The sequence below is a fragment of the Homo sapiens genome, chromosome 7 (genome assembly GCF_000001405.40).
Source record: "Homo sapiens chromosome 7, GRCh38.p14 Primary Assembly".
NCBI classification, from domain to species: Eukaryota; Metazoa; Chordata; class Mammalia; order Primates; family Hominidae; genus Homo; species Homo sapiens.
In genome coordinates, this window is record NC_000007.14 from 121,214,093 (window position 1) to 121,236,352 (window position 22,260).

General features: G+C 37.0%; 1 protein-coding gene and 1 long non-coding RNA gene across 6 annotated transcripts in view; one reads left to right on the forward strand and one right to left on the reverse strand.

Moving 5' to 3' along the window:
* Positions 1-22,260, forward strand: part of CPED1 (cadherin like and PC-esterase domain containing 1) — a 308,732-nt gene that overhangs the window by 225,382 nt on the left and 61,090 nt on the right. The gene's annotated exons all lie outside the window — the stretch shown is intronic.
* Positions 1-22,260, reverse strand: part of LOC124901735 (uncharacterized) — a 122,886-nt gene that overhangs the window by 70,229 nt on the left and 30,397 nt on the right. The window lies entirely within an intron of this gene.

A 22,260-nucleotide genomic window follows, 5' to 3' on the forward strand; every position in this document is an offset into this window, starting at 1 on the left:
AATTATATAATGTTTTCTGCTGATGAAATGAAGTTATATATTTGTGGCAAGAATGCTACAGAAGTGATGTATTTCTCTTGCCAACATGATGAGGATAGTGTTTGCTGGGTTTCTCCACTGTAAACTCACATCTTTCTCTGTGTCATTAATAAATATCATAGGATAGTGACCTTTAAGGCTGCTCCTTAGAGTATTTTATCTTTATTATTAATTTTTTTGAGACAGAGTCTCACTCTGTCACCCAGGCTAGAGTGTAGTGGTGCAATCTTGGCTTACTGCAACCTCCGCCTCACAAGATCAAGGGATTCTCGTGCCTTAGCCTCTGGAGTAGCTGGGATTACAGGCATGTGTCACCATGCCTGGCTAATTTGTTGTATTTTTAGTAGAGATGAGGTGTTGCCGTATTGGCTAGACTGGTCTCGAACTCCTGACCTCAAGTGATCCACCTGCCTTGGCCTCCCAAAGTGCTGGGATTACAGGTGTGAACAGCTGCACCTGGCCTGTCTTTAGAGTATTTTAAAAATATTATAAACATGTATAAAAATGTGAGACTACACATAGAAAGGACTGTCATGTCGTAGATACAAGTATGCTTCATAGGTTTCTAATTTTTACATTGTTAGAATATGTTTAAACTAAAAATGAATATTAACTTTTAATTTCACAATGCCATAGTAGTCTGAATGTTCAGTTTTGAAAGCATTAGCATTTCTGAGCTGAATTTAGCTCCTTTTAGCATGCTTTGAGCTTAACTGTGGATGTACAGCATGTGATCAGTGAGTAATCTTTGAAAAATTATTCAGCTCTAAGTAATTACTAGTAAAGCTTCAATGAGAGATGCAGTTTATGACATTAAGACATGTAATGGGATACATTTTTTGCAGCAGACCGTATTCCATATGTCACTTGGTTGCATACACTTAAACTTGCATTAATAGTGGATGGCAAGCCTTTACTCTTCTGCCATTTTGTGTGCATGTAGACTGCCGGGCCCTTTCTTCTACCCCTCTGTGTCTAATTTTCAACCATGTTCCGATGCCATACATTTATGGTTATGACAGGTGAGCTCTGCTAGTGAAAGCATATTCCAGTGAAGCCTAGTGTCCCAGCTCCATCCTTTTGGCTCTGTTTGATGTGTCAGTTGCACTCATATTTCTATCTGTTAATGCAATAAACATGTAATAAACACCTCTAAGTCAGGCCCTATACTCAGTCATTAGACATAAGTGGATTAGATGAGAGACTATAAACAGTTCAGCAAGTATTTATTATTGCAACTGGAAAGTAAAGTCTATGAGCAATATAATTTTATTTTCATAAATTTAAAAAACAACATATTTAAATGTAAAGAAAAGTAAGAAAATTAGATTCCAAGGCCAGGGAAACTGCATACTTTATCTTGGAATATCATCCCAGATATGTGGATTGCACAGTAACTGTGATTTGAAGTTATATATTTTTAACAAAGATAAACTTTGGTTGTTGATGTAGCAAGGGTCTAGAGCACAGTTTTTAATAAATGTATTAGTTGAGATTTGTCTTCATATCATTATTTATTTGATATGACATATAATTTGAAGTAGTCCAAATCTCTTCACAAAAAGTGTTAGTATGGGAGAATCCCACCTGACACCAATCCTTTTAATGAAATTTAACACAAAATTAAGATTCAAGGATTATTGTGAAATTTAAAATTATCTTAATTTACTCATAGGCACCAGTGAGTTTTTAAAAAGATGTCTTACATATTTTTTAATTATAAGCTTTTGGCCAAGCAAGTATTAAGTGGGAAGTTCACTTCAAAAATAATAATGACAGTAATGGCAATAATAATATTAATAATAGTAATAATAATACTCATATTTTCCCAATTTCACAGATAAGAAAATTAAGGCAAAAAGAGACTAAGCAACTTGCCCAAGACCACACAGCTACTAAGTGGCATAGCCTTGGCTCAGATTTGGGCCGTGTATCCTCAGTCTACACTCTTAAACTCTTACCCTCTACAACTTTCTAGATAGTTAGGTTATAGGATAAGTTGGTATAATGAAGATTCCTACGTTACAGTGATTTAAATAAGATAGAAAAGTATTTCTCTCTTGTAACAGTATAGGAACGAGTGGCCCAGGGCTGGCTGGACAGTTCTGCTGTCTTGTGTGCGTGGCTTCCATCTCTGGTCCAAAGTGTCTGCATGCCTTGTTGCCATCTCCTAGCCATAAGGAAAAGGAGGAGGGAAGTAAAAGGCAAGCACCCTCATTTTGAAGGATGTGACCAGAAGTTCACTTCTACTCACATTCTGTTATTCAGTACTTGGTTGCAGGGCCACACATATCAGCAAGAGAGGTATGGAAATGTCCTCTAATTGAGTTGCCATGTGTCCAGCTAAACCTCCTGGGTTAAAAGAAAGAAGGGGAGAAAGAATACTGGGAGGAAATTAGCAGGCTCTGCTAGAACCTTCCTCTCTGGTTTTAGACTCCCACCTACCCAGAGAGGTGGGAGTCTATATAGAACTCTATATAGAACCCCTATTCTCCCCAAAGGAGACCACCCAGTTCAGAGTCTTAAGATTTCTGGGAGATGTACTGGATGCTGCAAGTTTTTCCTTATGGTCCAATCACCTATAGCCAAAAAGACAAATTATGTGCCATATCCACTTCATACTCTGTATGGAGAATAACCTCAAAGATAACTCTCATTCAGATAAGAAAGGAATGGTAAATATATGGTGGTCCGTTGTCCACAGCAATTATCATATTTGGTGGCAGGACTTACAGACTCCCTGTTCCAACATGGAATATGTTCTTTGGTTTGCTCAACTGTTACACTTTTTTTTGGAGCTTTTTGGTTTGCTTAGCTGTTACGCTTTTGAATATTGCATTTTTTTGGAGAGTTATTCCTTACTTATTATCTGGAGGTGGTTTGAGAATATTCCCTAATTGAGAGGTTGCACAGTTTTGGTGGTTTTTATTTTTATTTTTATTTTTATTTTTATCTCCCTCTGCCACCCAAGCTGGAATGCAGTGCAGTGTCATGATCATAGATCACCTTAGACTCAAACTCCTTGGATCAAGCAATCCTCCTTTCTCAGCCTCCCAAGTAGCTGAGATTACAGGCATGAGCCACTATGCCTGGCCACAGTTTTTGCCTCCTCCTTTCCACAAGGGCAGGGGTAAGACCCAGATTTGTTTTAAGGGTCAAGCAGTCAAAGGCTTTTACAAGCCAAGCTTGTGATTTCAATGGAAATATGATTCCATAAAAAATGTAGTGGACATATATATGTATATATATTTGCATCTAGACAGCTCCATGTAAATATGCTATTCTATGTTAACTAGTTCGGCTTTTCTCTAAGCCAAGATATATCCTTGGAAGATGTCATTGTTTTGTATTTCCTAGTATTTTCTATAACCATTTCCTAAAGGCATCTGTTGGCCATTTAATCATATTAAAGCATTAAATGGACTCTGGCATATGCTTCAGTTCACTGGTTAGTCTGTTTTTATTCTTAAAGTTTTGGGGGTATTCATGAAATGCTTTGGAAAGCTTGTGACAGACTTGATAGGGCATGATGTCTGGCTGGTGTCTTCAACAGTTAACACAATGATTCATTCCCATATGTTCTTCTTAGTGCACTGGCCTCATCTGTATTACATGTGCCTGTACCTCACAGCACCTGAAAGCCTGTATAGAAGAATTTAATATATCACTGTGACTGGAGAAAAGTAGAACTTGTTTGTAAATGTTTGTTTCCTTCAAATTTCAAAATCCCACAGTGTAAGGGTTACTGGAGGTGTGTACCTGTGTGTGTGCCTGTGTAGATGTGTGCATATAGGTGTGTTTGTGTAGCAGTTACCAAAATATTTGGTTGGTGCAAAATTAATTGTGGTTTTTGCCAATTTTTTTTTTTTTTGAGACAGAGTCTCACTCTGTCACCCAGGCTGGAGTGCAGTGGCACAATCTCGACTCACTGCAACCTCTGCCTCCCTGGTTCAGATGATTCTCCTGCCTCAGACTCCTGAGTAGCTGGAATTACAGGCACCCTCCACCATGCCTGGCTAATTTTTTTTTTTTTTTGTATTTTTAGTAGAGACAGGGTTTTACCATGTTGGCCAGGCTGGTCTGAAACTCCTGACCTCAGGTGATTTGTCCGTCTTGGACTCCCAAAGCCTTTACTTTCAATGGCAAAAATCGCAATTACTTTTACACCCACCTAATAATTGTAGACAGGAAATGTCCACATGGTGCCCAAAACTAATGTGACTGCATCTTTTATTAAATATTCAACTCTCTTAGTAGTGCCACTCAAGCATAACATTCCCCACAAGTTACATCTTTAAGGATTACAACCTCATATGCTTTATTAGCAGACTATTTATATGTGGGACAGTCCATCCATGCTGAAGTATTTATAACAGCAATTATTTTGAGTAGGAGTGATCAATATCTCCTGGGCAAACCTACTTACTGCTTAACAGGTGGCAAACATCTGTTGTTGTTTGGTGTCACCATTGTTGGCAACTATACATCAATTAAAAGTTTTACTCATAAGTGGGAGTTGAACAATGAGAACACATGGGCATAGGGAGGGGAATATCACACACTGGGGACTGTCAGGGGACATGGGGCTAGGGGAGGGATAGCATTAGGAGAAATACCTAATGTAGATGACGGGTTGATGGCTGCAGCAAACCACCATGGCACATGTATACCTACATAAAAAACCTGCATGTTCTAAACATGTATCCCAGAACTTAAAGTATAATCTAAAAAATGACAAAAAAAGTTGTCCTTTAAAATCTCTGCAGCCTATTACCTATTTCCAATCAGTACTATTTCTGCTTCAACCTACAAAAACAGGTTTGTTCCTTTGGAATATGAAATAAGTTTTTCTTGTTGCTATTATTTTGTCACTTCCAAAACTGATCTAGATTGGTCAAAGTATGAGAGAACCCAAAGTAGTAACACACAGATCCAACACTATATTTCTTTGTTCACAAGTCAAAAAGAACTGAATGTTGTATCTAAGCATATAAATTCATTCTTTTGTTCATTTGTATTCATATTTACCCATCTGGATTCCATCTGGAACCAAAACCAAAAGTGCGAGAAACCACAACAAAGGCTGCTTTCCTTGGGTTTTCTACCTCACTGGAAGTGGGTAGCATTAGGCATTTCACAGGCTTCCTCTCACTAGATTTTCCAGTCGAAATCCTACAAAGACCAGAGACTCATACACTTCTAAATGGAGAATACAGGGTGTCTTTCAGAATGGACTTCAGCAAGCAGGACCACATTGGCCCCATCCTGGCTAATTTGAAGGCCATTTAGGTTGAAAAAGAAAAAAACTTTATATTAGCTCAGAGATTTGGAATGCATGAGAAATGTAAAGAAATATTTCCAATATTAATGTCATATTAATACATTTAGTTGAGTAGAACTAATTCATTTGCTTGTAATTTGTTTCAATTTCCTTCCTTCCTGAGTTCCTTGCAGACTAACTTAAAATTCTTTCACAGTATAATGAATAGCCACTTTTCAGCTGATATATGTTTAGGGAAGAAACACACAACTGTGTCACATTCTATGATGGCTCATTACTAGGTGGATTCTAATGTGTTATAAGTAAGATTATCCATTCCAAACATAAACAGCAAGGGAAGCCGTATGTACTATCCTCTACCCAACCTCAAGTTCCATTATTTTTAATAAAACTAAAACGTACTTGTAATTTCTCACTAAAACATAATAACACCCAGCATTGAAGCTTATCAATTTTTAAAGCCATATTTTTAGGAAAATTTTCTGCACAAAAAATAGAATAACTTAAGTAGCTGTATATTTTTCTTAAAACTCAGTGTAAGGCGATTACTTAGGTAAACCTTGTTCACTGCCAATTTTTATTGGAATGAATTGTAAGTGAAAGTCAAAATGTTTCCTACTCCTCAGTAAAGATGTTTAATTTTGTCCTATACTTTTATTAGCCAGCTACTTAGTAAAAGTTTTTATAAGTTTTATAAAAGGAAATAGAGTTTAGAGACTTACCTGGTAATAATTTTTATACATAACAAAGTTGAAGAAGCTTAATTTGTTGTCACATTCAAGAACTCTGTGTCATTAGAATGAGCCAAGCATGGAAATCATGATTCCAAATTAATGTGACTAATTTCTACCCACTTCCTATCCCAGTCTCTGAGCATCGTCTACTCTGAACTTGAATGGTCATGGTTTCACCCAGCTCTAGCATGTTCCAGGTGCTCATCCCCCTACCTGGAACATTTGCTTAACTCACTCTTATGTTTCCTTGGATAAACTATAAGTCTGCGAGACAAGACAGTATTAAATGGCTGTACAGGCTGCTTGTCCTTCATAGCCCTTAGTAGGAATCAAACCTGCCAATGCCTCCGTTTTGGACTTCTGGCCTCCAGAACTGAAAGACAACAAATTTAGATTTGTTCTAAACCACATAATTTATGGTAATTTGTCACAGTTGCCCTAGGAAACAAATACAACTTCAAAGAGCTATCAGTTCTCTTCTTTTCTATTATTCTGCTTTAACATCTTAAATAATATTTTTAAATTGTAGTTTTAAAAATACAACCATAATTCATACTAATGGTGAAATATTGAAGCATGTAAAATAAAAAGTAAAAGTGCATTTTGCCTTTCCATCTCTGGCCTTCTATTCTTAATCTTCTAAGAGATCCACTGTTTAGAATTTCTTGTGTATCATTCCAGAACTTACGTGTTCACAATCAAGTATATATACTAACACTTTATTTTACTTAAATAAGATCATGGTATACATCATGTTCTGCAATTTGCTTTACTGCTTTTAATAACTTTTCTTATATATATCTCCATATCTTTACTCTATATCCATCTTTTTTTTATTATACTTTAAGTTCTAGGGTATAAGTGCACAACATGCAGGTTTGATACATAGGTATATGTGCCATGTTGGTTTGCTGCACCCATCAACTCGTCATTTACATTAGGTATTTCTCCTAATGCTATCTGTCCCCAAGTCCCCCACCCGACAGGCCCCTGTGTGTGATGTTCCCTGCCCTGTGTCCAAGTGTTCTCATTGTTCAATTCCCACCTATGAGTGAGAACATGCAGTGTTTGGTTTTCTGTCTTTGTGATAGTTTACTCAGAATGACGGTTTCCAGCTTCATCCATGTCCCTGCAAAGGACATGAACTAAACCTTTTTAATGGCTGCATAGTATTCCACAGTGTATATGTGCCACATTTTCTTAATCTAGTCTATCATTGGTGGACATTTGGGTTGGTTCCAAGTCTTTGCTATTGTGAATAGTGCCACAATAAACATACATGTGCATGTGTCTTTATAGTAGCATGATTTATAATCCTTTGGGTATATACCCAGTAATGGGATTGCTAGGTCAAATGGTATTTCTAGTTCTAGATCCTTGAGGAATCCCCACACTGTCTTCCACAATGGTTGAACTAATTTACACTCCCACCAACAGTGTAAAAGTGTTCCTATTTCTCCACATCCTCTCCAGCATCTGTTGTTTCCTGACTTTTTAATGTTCACCATTCTAATTGGCCTGAGATGGTATCTCATTATGGTTTTGATTTGCATTTCTCTGATAACCAGTGATGATGAGCATTTTTTAATGTGTGTGTTGGCTGCATAAATGTCTTCTTTTGAGAAGTGTCTGTTCATATCTTTTGCCCACTTTTTGATTGGTTTATTTCTTGTAAATTTGTTTAAGATCTTTGTAGATTCTGGATATTAGCCCTTTGTCAGATGGGTAGATTGCAAAAATTTTCTCCCATTCTGTAGATTGCCTGTTCACTCTGATGGTAGTTTCTTTGCCATGCAGAAGCCCTTTAGTTTAATTAGATCCCATCTGTCTATTTTGGCTTTTGGTGCCATTGCTTTTGGTGTTTTAGTCATGAAGTCCTTGACCATGCTTATGTCCTGAATGGTATTGCCTAGGTTTTCTTCTAGAAATTTTATGGTTTTAGGTCTAACATTTAAGTCTTTAATCTGTCTTGAATTAATTTTTGTATAAGGTGTAAGGAAGGGATCCAGTTTCAGCTTTCTACATGTAGCTAGCCAGTTTTCCCAGCACCATTTATTAAATAGGGAATCCGTTTCCCATTTCTTGTTTTTGTCAGGTTTGTCAAAAATCAGATGGTTGTAGATGTGTGGTGTTATTTCTGAGGGCTCTGTTCTGTTCCACTGGTCTATATCTCTGTTTTGGTACCAGTACCATGCTGTTTTGTTTACTGTAGCCTTGTAGTATAGTTTACAGTCAGGTAGCGTGATGCCTCCAGCTTTGTTCTTTTTGCTTAGGATTGTCATGGCATTGTGGGCTCTTTTTTGGTTCCATATGAATTTTAGAGTACTTTTTCCAATTCTGTGAAGAAAGTCATTGGTAGCCTGATGGGGATAGCATTGAATCTATAAATTACCTTTGGCAGTATGGCCATTTTCACTATATTGATTCTTCTTATCCATGAGCATGAAATGTTCTTCCGTTTGTTTGTGTCCTCTTTTTATTTCATTGAGCAGTGGTTTGTAGTTCTCCTTGAAGAGGTCCTTCACATCCCTCCTAAGTTGGATTTCTACTTATTTTATTCTTTTTGTAGCAATTGTGAATGTGAATTCACTCGTGATTTGGCTCTCTGTTTGTCTGTTATTGGTGTATAGGAATGTTTGTGATTTTTGCACATTGATTTTGTATCCTGAGACTTTGCTGAAGTTGCTTATCAGCTTAAGGAGATTTTGGGCTGAGACAATGGGGTTTTCTAAACATACAATCATGTCATCTGCAAACAGGGACAATTTGACTTCCTCTTTTACTAACTAATACCCTTTATTTCTTTCTCTTGCCTGATTGCCCTGGCCAGAACTTCCAACACTATGTTGAATAGGATTGGTGAGAGAGGGCATCCTTGTCTTGTGCCAGTTTTCAAAGGGAATGCTTCCAGTTTTTGTCCATTCAGTATGATATTGGCTGTGGGTTTGTGATAAATAGCTCTTATTATTTTGAGATACGTTCCATCAATACCTAGTTTATTTTGAGTTTTTAGCATGAAGGGCTGTTGAATTTTGTCAAAGGCCTTTTCTGCATCTATTGAAATAATCATATGTGTTTTTGTCATTGGTTCTGTTTATGTGATGGATTACCTTTATTGATTTGTGTGTGTTGAACCAGCCTTGCATCCCAGGGATGAAGCCAACTTGATCGTGATGGATAAACTTTTTGATGTGCTGCTGGATTTGGTTTGCCAGTATTTTATCGAGGATTTTCGCATTGATGTTCATCATGGATATTGGTCTACAATTCTCTTTTTTTGTTGTGTCTCTGCCAGTCTTTGCTATCAGGATGATGCTGGCCTCATAAAATGAGTTAGGGAGGATTCTCTCTTTTTCTATTGATTGGAGTAGTTTCAGAAGGAATGGTACACAGCTCCTCTTTTTACCCCTGTTAGAATTTGGCTATGAATCCATCAGGTCCTGGACTTTTTTTTGGTTGGTAGGCTATTAATTATTGCCTCAATTTTGGAGCCTGTTATTGGTCTATTCAGAGATTCTACTTTTTCCTAGTTTAGTCATGGGAGTTGTATATGTCCAGGAATTTATCTGTTTCTTCTGAATTTTCTAGTTTATTTTCGTAGAGGTATTTATAGTATTCTCTGATGGTAGTCTGTGTTTCTGTGGGATCGGTGGTGATATCCCCTTTATCATTTTTTATTGTGTCTATTTGATTCTTCTCTCTTTTCTTTTTTATTAGTCTTGCTAGCAGTCTATCAATTTTGTTGATCTTTTGAAAAAAACAGCTTCTGGATTCATTGATTTTTTTTTTGAAGGAATTTTTGTGTCTCTATTTCTTTTAGTTCTGCTCTGATCTTAGTTATTTCTTGCCTTCTGCTAGCTTTTGAATTTGTTCTTGCTTCTCTAGTTCTTTTAATTGTGACATTAGGGTGTCAATTTTAGATCTTTCCTGATTTCTCTTTTGGGCATTTAGTGCTATAAATTTCCCTCTACACACTGCTTTAAATGTGTCCCAGTGATTCTGGAACACTGTGTCTTTGTTCTCATTGGTTTCAAAGAACATCTTTATTTCTGCCTTCATTTTGTTATTTACCCAGTAGTCATTCAGGAGCAGGTTGTTCAGTTTCCATGTAGTTGTGCGGTTTTGAGTGAGTTTCTTAATCCTGAGTTCTAACTTGATTGCACTGTGGTCTGAGAGAGAGTTTGTTGTGATTTCTGATCTTTTACATGTACTGAGAAGTTCTTTGCTTCCAATTATGTGGTCAATTTTAGAATAAGTGCTATGTGGTGATGAGAAGAATGTATATTCTGTTGATTTGGGGTGGAGAGTTCTGTAGATGTCTGTTAGTTCTGCTTGGTGCAGAGCTGAGTTCAAGTCCTGGATATCCTTGTTAACCTTCTGTTTCATTGATCTGTCTAATATTGACAGTGGGGTATTAAAGTCTCCCATTATAATGGTATGGAAATCTAAGTCTCTTTGTAGGTCACTAAGGACTTGCTTTATGAATCTGGGTACTCCTGTATTGGGTGCATATATATTTAGGATAGTTAGCTCTTCTTGTTGAATTGATCCCTTTACCATTATGTAACGGCCTTGTTTGTCCCTTTTGATCTTTGTTGGTTTAAAGTCTATTTTATCAGAGACTAGGATTGCAACCCCTGCTTTTTTTTTTTTTTTTTTTTTTGCTTTCTATTTGCTTGGTAAATATTCCTCCATCCCTTTATTTTGATCCTATGTGTATCTCTGCATGTGAGATGGGTCTCCTGAATACAGCACACTGATGGGTCTTGACTCTTTATCCAATTTGCCCATTTGTGTCTTTTAATTGGGGCATTTAGCCCATTTACATTTAAGGTTAATGTTGTTTTGTGTGAATTGGAGCCTGTCATTATGATGTTAGCTGGTTATTTTGCCTGTTAATTGATGCAGTTTCTTCATAGCATCGATGGTCTTTACAATTTGGCATGTTTTTGCAGTGGCTGGTACCGGTTGTTTCTTTCCATGTTTAGTGCTTCCTTCAGGAGCTCCTGTAAGGCAGGCCTGGTGGTGACAAAATCTCTCAGCATTTGCTTGTCTGTAAAGGATTTTATTTCTCCTTCACTTATGAAGCTCAGTTTGACTGGATATGAAATTCTGGGTTGCAAATTCTTTTCTTTAAGAATGTTGAATATTGGCCCCCACTCTCTTCTGGCTTATAGGGTTTCTGCCGAGAGATCCACTGTTAGTCTGATGGGCTTCCTTCCCTTTGTGGGTAACCTGACCTTTCTCTCTGGCTGCCCTTAACATTTTTTCCTTCATTTCAACCTTGGTGAATCTAACAATTATGTGTCTTGGGGTTTCTCTTCTTGAGGAGTATCTTTGTGGTGATCTCTGTATTTCCTGAATTTGAATGTTGGCCTGCCTTGCTAGGTTGGGGAAATTCTCCTGGATAATATCCTGAAGAGTGTTTTCCAATTTGGTTCCATTCTCCCCATCACTTTCAGGTACACCAATCAAACATAGATTTGGTCTTTTCACATAGTCCCATATTTCTTGGAGGCTTTGTTCATTTCTTTTTACTCTTTTTTCTCTAACCTTGTTTTCTCTCTTCATTTCATTCATTTGATCTTCAATCACTGATACCCTTCTTCTACTTCATCGAATCGGGTATTGAAGCTTGTGTATGCATCACGAAGTTCTCATGCCATGGTTTTCAGCTCCATCAGGTCATTTAAGGTCTTCTCTACACTGTTTATTCTAGTTAGCCATTCGTCTAACCTTTTTTCAAGGTTTTTAGCTTCCTTGTGATGGGTTTGAACATGCTCCTTTAGCTTAGGGAAGTTTGTTATTACCGACCTTCTGACGCCTACTTCTGTCAACTCATTAAAGTCATTCTCCATCCAGCTTTGTTCCGTTGCTGACGAGGAACTGTGATCCTTTGGAGGAGAAGAGGTGCTCTGGTTTTTAGAATTTTCAGCTTTTCTGCTCTGGGTTTTCCCCATCGTTATGGTTTTATCTACCTTTGGTCTTTGATGTTGGTAATCTACAGATGGGGTTTCGGTGTGGATGTCCTTTTTGTTGATGTTGGTGCTATTCGTTTCTGTTCGTTAGCTTTTCTTCTAACAATCAGGTCCCTTAGCTGCAGGTCTGTTGGAGTTTGCTAGAAGTCCACTCCAGATCCTGTTTGCCTGGGTGTCACCAGCCGAGGCTTGGTTGGAAATGCAGAAATCACCCGTTTTCTGCGTTGATCATGCTGGGAGCTGCAGACCGGAGCTGTTCCTGTTCAGCCATCTTGGAATGGATGTCCTCCACATCCATCTTTTCTAAGAATTACAAAATATTTGATTATCTGGATGTAGCATAAGTTATTTAACCAGTTTTGTATTGATGGACACTTGAGATGTGTTTAGTTTTGTGTTATTAATATTTTATGAAGTGCTCCAGTCAGTTTCCTTGTACATCTATCTTTGTGTACTTTGTAAAGTAGATTTGTAGGATGAAGTCTTAGCAGTATAATTGCTGGTTTAAATTTATATGCAATTATTTTTACAGATATTTCAAATGCCCTCCATAAAGGAGAAAAATCTCTCTTAATATTAATTTACATAAATTGCTCTCTTCTTGAAAAACATTCAATTTTGGGATAAATGTGATATCTCAAGGGTGACTTTAGATAGATTATCATTAATTATTTATTGCTAATGTAAACATAAGCTAATTCTATAAATGTTTATTGAATGTCTGATACTGTGAATCAGACAATAGCTACTCAGTATTTTATGGCTGATTGACTACAGTGCAAGGAGAGTTGTTAAATTTAAAGACCATGTAAACACAGAAAATAATTCATTCCTTCAGAACAAGATGCCAGTCTGTACAAGGAATCCATTTGGAAATTTCTCAAAAGGGAGAACCACAAACACAAAATTCTAGAGCTAAATAGATCATATGGGAATTATTTAGACAATTATTCTGTAGAGACTCAAAAACATTAGAGCCAGAATTATATTGGAGGTCATTCCAGTGCCCCAAATATCCATGCTAGCAGGAACCCAGCGTTGGCCATATAGGTCATGTTTACCCTTATGTTCTCCCCTTTTTTCTCTATTCCAGTGGCCCTTTCTCTGCAGCTGGGCCCCACACCTACATCCATCCGTTTCTTCTCCTTCCATTGATCCTATATACTGACAATAGCTTCAATCAGAAGCCGTGTTTTGAATGTTTATCACATGCTGAGGACTCTGACAAGTGCTAGAAACAGAAAGATTGTAACACAATTTCTGATCTGGGCTTACATCGTGGATGGATTTATACCAAAAACAGCCTTGGTGTGACTGTACCTGAAAAGACATAAAGCAATGCAAGTCCATTTTAAGGAACCAACTTTCAACTGCAATTTGTGTGGAGATGGAGTAAAGGTGAAAGAGAAAGTATTGATTAATTCACAGGAAGATTGAAATTAGACTATAAAACCAATGATTTGCTCTGCTTTTGGGAAAGTCAGCTATATATTAAGATGAAGCGGCAGAGGTCTAAAGTGAGATGAACCTCCATTTAAAACCTACCTCTCAGTAATTTAGCATTTCTATTTTCTTATTCCTAAAATGAAGATAGGAGTTGTTGTGAGAAAAATAAGATAATATGTGTAAATAACTTACATGCCAGGCATGTAATAAATGCTTTAAAAATACATCTATTTCAATTATCCTTATGCTCCAGTTTTATCCTTGAGGAGCTTGACAAATCTATACTAGTTGTGGTAAGTTGGAAGGCAGGTTAGAACTCCAAGTAGCAACTAATATCCTGAGATTTGCAAAATATTTTTGGAATAAACTTATAGCAGAACAGACAATTCATAATTGGCAGACTACTTAAGATTTGTCACAAAAATCAACTCAAAATGGATTAAAGACTTAAATGTAATCCCAGAAACTGTAAAAATACTAGAAGAAAACCTAGGGAAAGGTCTCCTGGACATTGGTTTAGGCAAATAATTTATGATTAAGACTTCAAAATCACAGGCAACTAAACCAAAAATAGACTAAGAAGACTTAATTAAACTAGAAAGCTTCTGCACAGCAAAAGAAAATCAAGAGATAACTTGCTGAATGAGAGAAAATATTTGCAAACTATTCTCCTGATGGGGGACTAATATCTAGAATACACAAGGAACTCAAACAACAAGTGAAAAAGCAAATAATTCCATCAACAAGTGGGCAACTTATAGAAATAGACATTTCTCAAAAGAAGACATACAAATCGCCAATGGGTACATGAAAAAATGCTCGATATCACTAATCATCAGAGAAATGCAAATGAAAACCACAGTGAGATATTACCTAACTCCAGTCAGAATGACTATTATTAAAAAGACAAAAAAAATAGATGTTGGCAAGGATGTGAAGAAAAGAGAACTCTTATACACTCTTGGTGGGAATATAAACTAGTACTGCTACTATGGACAATGATATGGAGATTTCTCAAAAAAAAAAAAAATCCAAAATAGAATTACCATCCAATCCAGCAATTCCACTACTGGGTATCTAACCAGAAGAAAAAACATCCGTTTATCAAAGGGATACCTGCACTCATATGTTGCAGCACTATTCACAATAGCAAAGATATGAAATCAGCATAAGTGCCTATCAGTGGATGAATGGATAAAGAAAATGTGGAACATGGACCATTACTTGGCCATAAAAAATGAAATTACTTTATTTGTAGCAACATCGATGGAACTGGAGGTTATTATCTTAAGACAAATAAACCAGGCACAAAAAGACAAATATTACATGTTCTCACTTACATGTGGGAGCTAAAACATTGATCACATGGTGGTAGAGAGTGAAAAGATAGATAACAGAGTCTGGAAAGAATGAGTGGGGGTAAGGAGGGAGGATGAAGACAAGTGGGTTAAAGGGTACAAACATACAGTAAGACAGAAGGAATAAATTCAATGTTTGATATCAGAGTAGGGTGACTACAGCTAACAAAAATGTATTATACTCAGATGATGGACAACTTAAATACCCTTACTTGGCCACTAAGCATTATATACCCATGTAAGAAAATTTCACATGTACCTCATAAATCTGTACAAATTTTTAAAATAGATTTGTTAATGTCTCCTTCCCAATTTGTGAATATGATATTTTTAAAAGAATAAAAAAATAGACAAATGCTTATAGCCTAAATAGCATAAATGGCCATATTTGAATATCTCCTAAAGTTATGCTCTATATGATATATTTTCCATGATAAACATCTTCAGCATGAATCACAAACAACTCAGGATGTGTTATCTTGCTTCTCAGCATATGTCTAAGAAATCAGTCTTCTTGCCAAAAGGAGAAAAAAGTTTCAAAATCAAAATTATGAGTCTTATAGATTGATTTTCGTAGTAGAAATGAAATGAAGGTCCTTGTAATGGGAAACCATTAGAAATCTCAAAATCCAAATATTGCATGATTTTCACTTTACAGTACTTATATATGGCACCCAGGAAACTTCTCAGTTGACCATAATTAATTTATAAGAAAATTTGAAAATTTGAAATTTTATTTGTTTGTGGCAGGAGCTGATGAAACATTTTCTAATGATGGAAGCTAAAATTCCCTAACACAATATTTGTGCATCTTATACTAAGTACATCTTTCAATGCAATTTAATTTTTCTCTTATTCTAAAATGTTTGTTTTTTTAGTTCACGTCCTAAAAAAAGAAATGTGAGTGCTTCAAAACAGACCTTGAGAAGGAAATGCTTTCAGTTAACCTTATGGAAACATCACAGAAAGTAGCACTGGACAAAGTAGAAGTTATTCAAGTCAAGCAGAGTATGGGGTGAAGACTGGATGGAGATTAGCCAAAGAGGAGGACCACAGCCAAACTTTACCCTGAATGCAATGCAATCTCTTGAATTATTTCAAGCAACAAAGGGAGTTTAAAACTTTTGCATTTCAGGAAGATGACGTTAGCAACAACATGGAAAATAGACATATTGGTGGTCCATAGAACTGTAGCAGAGGAGACCCATTAAGAGGTCAAGGCAATTCCCATGATAAAAGAACATGAAGACACAGATCAAAATAGTATCCATTGAAATCAAGAAAAAAAGAAATCAAGAAGAGAAAGTTGATATGAATATTTGGTGATTGATTGGCTGCTAGGGGCAATGAAGAGAAGGGAAACTTGGAAAACTGAAATGTCTGGCTTGGGCACCGAATCTTCCAAGCTCAACAGTATTGAGGTTATTGGGGATGGAACAGATTTTGGAATGATTTTTAAAGTTCAATTTCAGCTGTTTGGTGAGTAACAGCAAACCTGACTAATAGTAGCTTAAATAAATAAGAGATATTTTCTTCTTATCCAATAAAAAGTCCAGAATTAGACATTTGCAGCAGATCAAGAACATCAGCACATATCAAAATGGTTTCAGAAGATCAAGAATGTCAGCACAGATCAAAATGGTTTCAGAAGATCAAGGATGTCAGCACTAAAGTCTCCACAAAGTTTTTGGCCTTTCTTCCATAATTTAAGATAGTTGTTGTTCTTCCAGCTATCAATTTCCTGTTTCACAAGCAGAGAAGAAGAAACAAGAGAGGAGAAAGGAACAGCCTCTGTACCAGAAAAACAGGCTTTCTCTGCAATTCTCTGCAAGTTTATACTTACATTTCACTGACCAGAAATGTGTCAGTGGCCACTCTTGGCTGTAAGAAAAACAGGGGAGACATGTTATTAGTGTTCTCTTTAGGAGAGCAAAACAAGGAAAAGCAAGATCAGAGTGGGTTTTGACTCAACCTATGATATCTGTCATAGTTATATTGAAATTGAGGTACATCTGAGACATCCAAGGGAGATGTCCAGGAAACAGATGACTATGTGTCTGGAAGCCCTGAGAGTGGCCTAGACAGGGATCCAGTTTGGGAGTCGTGATCATTCAAGCTGTGGTTATGCCATGAAGATGAATGATATCTCCCAGAATGCAAAGTAAGAGCACTAAGGGCATGACTATAGAAAAGGTCAGACCTTAAAGGCTGGGTAACAGAAAGAATCTTCTTTGAGTTGGTATTTGGTAATAAGGAGTGTTAACAAAAGCAAAAGGTGAGCATTTCCAGAAGTAGAAGAGAATGAGATGAAAAATACAAGTGAAAGAAGCAACCTTCACAGATGGAAGAAGATTTACTTTACTACAACATAAGAAGAGATATCTGGGCATGGTTGTCTTATTGTCAGCACGAATTTGAGCAAATTACTGTCTAATGGGTTCTAATTTTTTATGAAGTAGAAGACAAGGTCATCTAATGAGACCAACAGAGATGTAGAAATGAGGGAGCTTAAGGAGAATGATGAAGGTTTGAAGTAGCCTTTGTGAAGAGTGGGGAAATGTTCCAACTAGGATAATAGAACCAAGATTTCCAGGCAGTACTGAGAGACCATCAGGAAATGTGTCTGGCATTTATCTTTACATTTGTGTGATTTTTGCCGGCGTCACTGACAGGTATGTAGAACGTTGGATGGAGATAGATTGGATTGTTCCAGGATTGGAGAGTTGCTGTGTACCATAAGTAAAATAAAAAAAGGAAGATGCGGATTGTTGAGGTATAGAAATGAACAGTGTAGACACAAATTGAAAGAGTTAGGAATCATGGGAATGGAAGTTCTGCATGACTGCAGAAGAGGCAGGAATAAGGTAGAAGAAAAGTATATTTTATTTTGAGAAAAGGAATTAGAATTTAAAATTACAGATGGAGCATCCCTGGCTTGAATGAAATATTCTAGCATTTGTACAAAAATATTGTTGAATGAAATAGAATGAATCCATACAGACCTTTGATAGCAAATTGTGAAATGGAGAGAATGACAATGGCTAAGGTGTCCCATTGGTACATGGAAGCATAATTAAGATGTTGATAGAAGATTGCCACAAGGAGGAGCCAGGTGAAATGAGCCACAGTAGAGGGTAACACAATGGAATAATGGTTTGAAAGAGGCAGTTGGAAGACAAGAAGAAGTAAACTTCCTGACTACGCAGGCAGCCTTCCCTGGAGATGGCTACAGAGAAAGAGGGCAAGTTGTCTTTTCCCACAAAGTCGCAGGGCAAGTTTTTTTTCCATTCCCCCTCACCTGTTTTCCCTGTGCCGGGATGGGTTTTGGGGAAGGTGAGGAGATGGAGGGAACATTGCGTGAAGCCTTTGAGATTTTAGAAGGGTTTGCTTACCATGGATGGGAGTAGCAGATCAGTGAAATTGGATTAGAGGAGAGATGAATAGCATGCCTTGCATTTTGGTCCATGCATGAGGGTGCTAAAGATATGAGATGTGGGATCTGCTAGTGTCCAGTCACATGGCTTAGGCTTAGTAAGTGTTCGGGCTCAAGAGAACCAGCAGATGCCTTTGATCAGCAGTTCATCAGGACATTGGGGAAAATACATCATAAGATCTCAAATATATCTTACTTCAGGTGGGCTAAGAGTGAATTTATCTCCCCAGGAATGTCAGTTCTTCTGGGGAAAGGAACAGCCCTAGTCTGGAAGGGAACTCCCTGCCTTCCCAGAGGGATTTGGCCATGCCAGAATCATCACGTTTTGAGAGATCATTGCTAACTTACTGGAAATGGCAGTAGCCCAGGGAAAGGGGAGGAATTGGGTCTCTTTGGAAGGAGCTATGTGCTGGAGGGAGTAATTGCATATTTTAAAATTTAGGTGGGCATTTAAAATTGTTTAGACAGAGAAGGGAAGAATTCTTTCATCTCAGAGAAATAATTCCATGGGGTCAATAGAAGTAGGTAAGATTTAAAGACACAGATCAGCTCAAATAGTCCAATTCAGTATTGCTTTAAAAATACAGCAATATCACATTTAAAATGAGAAATATTACTCATTCTTTTGTGGACAAATAATTCTGTAAGGAATGAAGTGGGTGTCCAGAGGAATAGATAATGAGAAACTGTGATCAGGCAGGAGGAAAAACCAAGAACATCATAATGATTCCGGTTAGTTACTCTAGCACCTCATGAAAAGTTAAGTAAATTTTTTGAATTGTGTACTAAGCATATTTACTTTGCACACGTATGAACAAGAAAATTCCTACTAAATATATTGTTGCACTCAATTGAGAACTATGACAATCTACTCTGGAGTTTGGCGCTTCCTTTTGAAGTCTCCAACAAAATGATTCACTCTAAGTGTGAAGATTTCTGGAGCTAATGCTGATTTACAGAACTCTGCTAAATACTACATTTTCTGTGTCTATAGATCTGTGGCTCCAAGAGATGACACTTAAGACCAAAAAAGAGCTGTTAGCTGGGCACAGTAGCATATGCCTACAGTCCCAGCTACTTGGGAAACTGAGATGGGAGGACTGCTTGAGCCTGGGAGTTTGAAGCTGCAGTGAGCCATGATGGTACCAGTGTACTCCAGCCTGAGCGACAGAGGAAGGCTCTGTCTCAAAACAACAACAATACTGTTGTTTATTCTTTTTAGTAACTGATGTATTCAATATGCCTAAACCTGACCAAATTGCTGATCATCCCAGTGAAGAAAGAAATGAGAGACACTAATGAGAATTTTCCTTTTTTTAAATGTTATTACTGTGATTAATCACTTTTAAGGTCTAAAGAAATACTCAAAAAGATTCATGTGGCATTTAAATTATAAGTTTCAGAGACCCTTTGAGGAATAGAGAAATTTGGCTGCATCTTACGTTTCTATAGTGGCTTGACCAAGCAGGAGTTTGTTTTTCATAGTAAAAAGTGTAGAGGTAGCTCCACAGCATCACCAATACCCTAGGCTCATTCTATTTTTTCTGCCTATGGTTGCTTCATGGCCACAAGATGGCTGCTCATTCTCAGGCTTACATTCATATTCTAAGCAGAAAGAGGAAACAGAGTGATCAAGAAAAAGTGGCATCAGGAAAGGAAAACTTTTCTAGAACTCCCTAGCTGGTGTTCACTTACATTTCTTTGACTAGAACTATGTCTCCTGACTCCTTTTAGCTATGAGAGACTGGGAAATCAATTTTTTTAATGCTGGGCACATTACTCCAACAAAATACAGGTTTTTCTGCTAAAAGGAAGAAAGGAGAATGGGTATGGCGTAGGTACCTAAGGCAGTCAGCTCAGGACTTGAGCTTACCTAATGCAATTCTTTGCCTTCTCCTCTCCCCAGCCTTCACCATTTTGTAATGAGAAATCTAGATCAAGTGACTTAGTGTCACACAGCCGGTTCATGAATGTTGAAACATTATTTGCATGGGTATATATATGCTAAAATATATTTTTATTAATAAATTGAACACAACATCTCAGTCTGAAGTACCCAAGTTTAGATGACATTATAGCATATAGAACTATAAACAGATAAATACTTTGCATTTAAAAGTAACGTCTAACATGGTACCTCCTAGAATGGAGGAACAGCCAAGTCTCCAGCTGAGGTGGTGAAAGTTGTTTATAATATTTCAAACTAAGATTGAGTTTCACAAGTACTAGAAAAATAACATTCTCCCTAAATAAAAAGTAAAGCATTCTAGATAGAGCTAAAGCCTCCTTGACATCCACTGCCAGTCCAGGAACACATTCTCCAGTCCAGGAACACATTCTACAGTCCAGGAACACTACCGTCATCCAGATTTCCTTTTATTCTCTTAACAGAGACATACCTGTTCCCACAAAATCAATATTTAGTACATTGTTGATTGAGTGAACACACACGTACACGTGTGTATTTCAGATAGCATGAATTGTTCTATAACTTTTGGATATTTTCTTACCCATATGTCTTGAAAATATCTCCATGTTACTTAGTCCATTTAGATTTATCCTTATACATATCCCTTATGTTTTTCTAGAGTAGACCCAGAAGGCTCCAGGGTTGCAGAGTCTCTGCACTTTTTATTTTAGTATAAACTGCTCTCCAAAGCAACTGAATTAACTTGCACTCCCATTAGCAATGTATAATGGTAACTGCTTCTCATTGCTCCCTCTAACATTTCATATAAAAATATTTTTGCAAAATGAATCATGACACTTTTTTCTGGCCTTATAAAAGATCCAGTCTCCACTAAAAATAAATGGTTGGATAGATATCACACACATACACGGGTATACTAACAAGTATCATTTATAGATGTTTATTTAGACTACATCTCCCCACATTATAATAAACTTTGTGGTTTTTTATTGCTTTATTATAATAAGCACTTTAATACAAATCATTTTTCTAATTTTAGTCAGTATCTTAAACTCCATGCTTAGTCATAAATTAAGAAATGAAAATATGTACACTGAATCAAGATTTTAAGTTCACTCACCCCCACCATTCCTCTTGTTCCTTAATATCCTGGACCTTTTTGTATGAGATCTGGGAATCTGAGGTTAGGACAGTTGAGAATATGAGAGAATGTAACCACAAATTGCTGATTAGAACCAGAGTTACACAGCAAAGAAGAGGTCAAATCCACTGTTTCTCTCCATTGTTGAGAATTTCTCATATAATGAGGGACACAATAAAGTCTAACTTTTTATGCATTCAATAAATGTTTACTGTTTGTTGTATGATAAGTACTGGTTCCATATGTGAGTGGAATAATTATTTGTTCCCATGACACATTCAGTATAGTAGAAAAGACCCAGACAAATAATAAACAAACTAACAAACAGTTATCAAACGGTGAAGAGCATAAAGGAAACAAAGGGGGAGCTGACATGAACAAAAGTAGGGAGACGTAATTGTGCTAGAGTTTCAGGAAGACCTTGCTGAGACCTAAAATATAAGATGTCTCCATGCAAAATTAGGGGGAAAGCAATCCCAATCTAGATGATAGGCTTTTAACACGCCCTAAATTGTGATAGACTGAGAGAACCCAGTGAGAAGAGTGGCAGTGGAACCACATGAAGTAGGATAGAAGGACATAGGACAGGTACAGGGCCAACAGCTTTGCAGAATAAGCTAAGAGAAAATGAGACTGGTCCAGCCTGCGGGTGCAGCTCAGTGGATGGGGCAGAGGAAGAAGGAGAGAAGTTTCAGAGATGCAATACACTATCGTTCTGTTCTACATCTGTCAGACTATTGAAAACATTGCTTAGTATAGCACATGCCTCTATAATGATATTCAGTGCAGTGAAATGTTACCCACTGTTGTAAATATAAGAATGTGCTTTGAATAAAATACATGCATCTGATTCCACTCTGGTGTATCATGAATTCTTAATAAAAGTTTGTTAAAATGAAATTCATCTGTTAAATTAAATT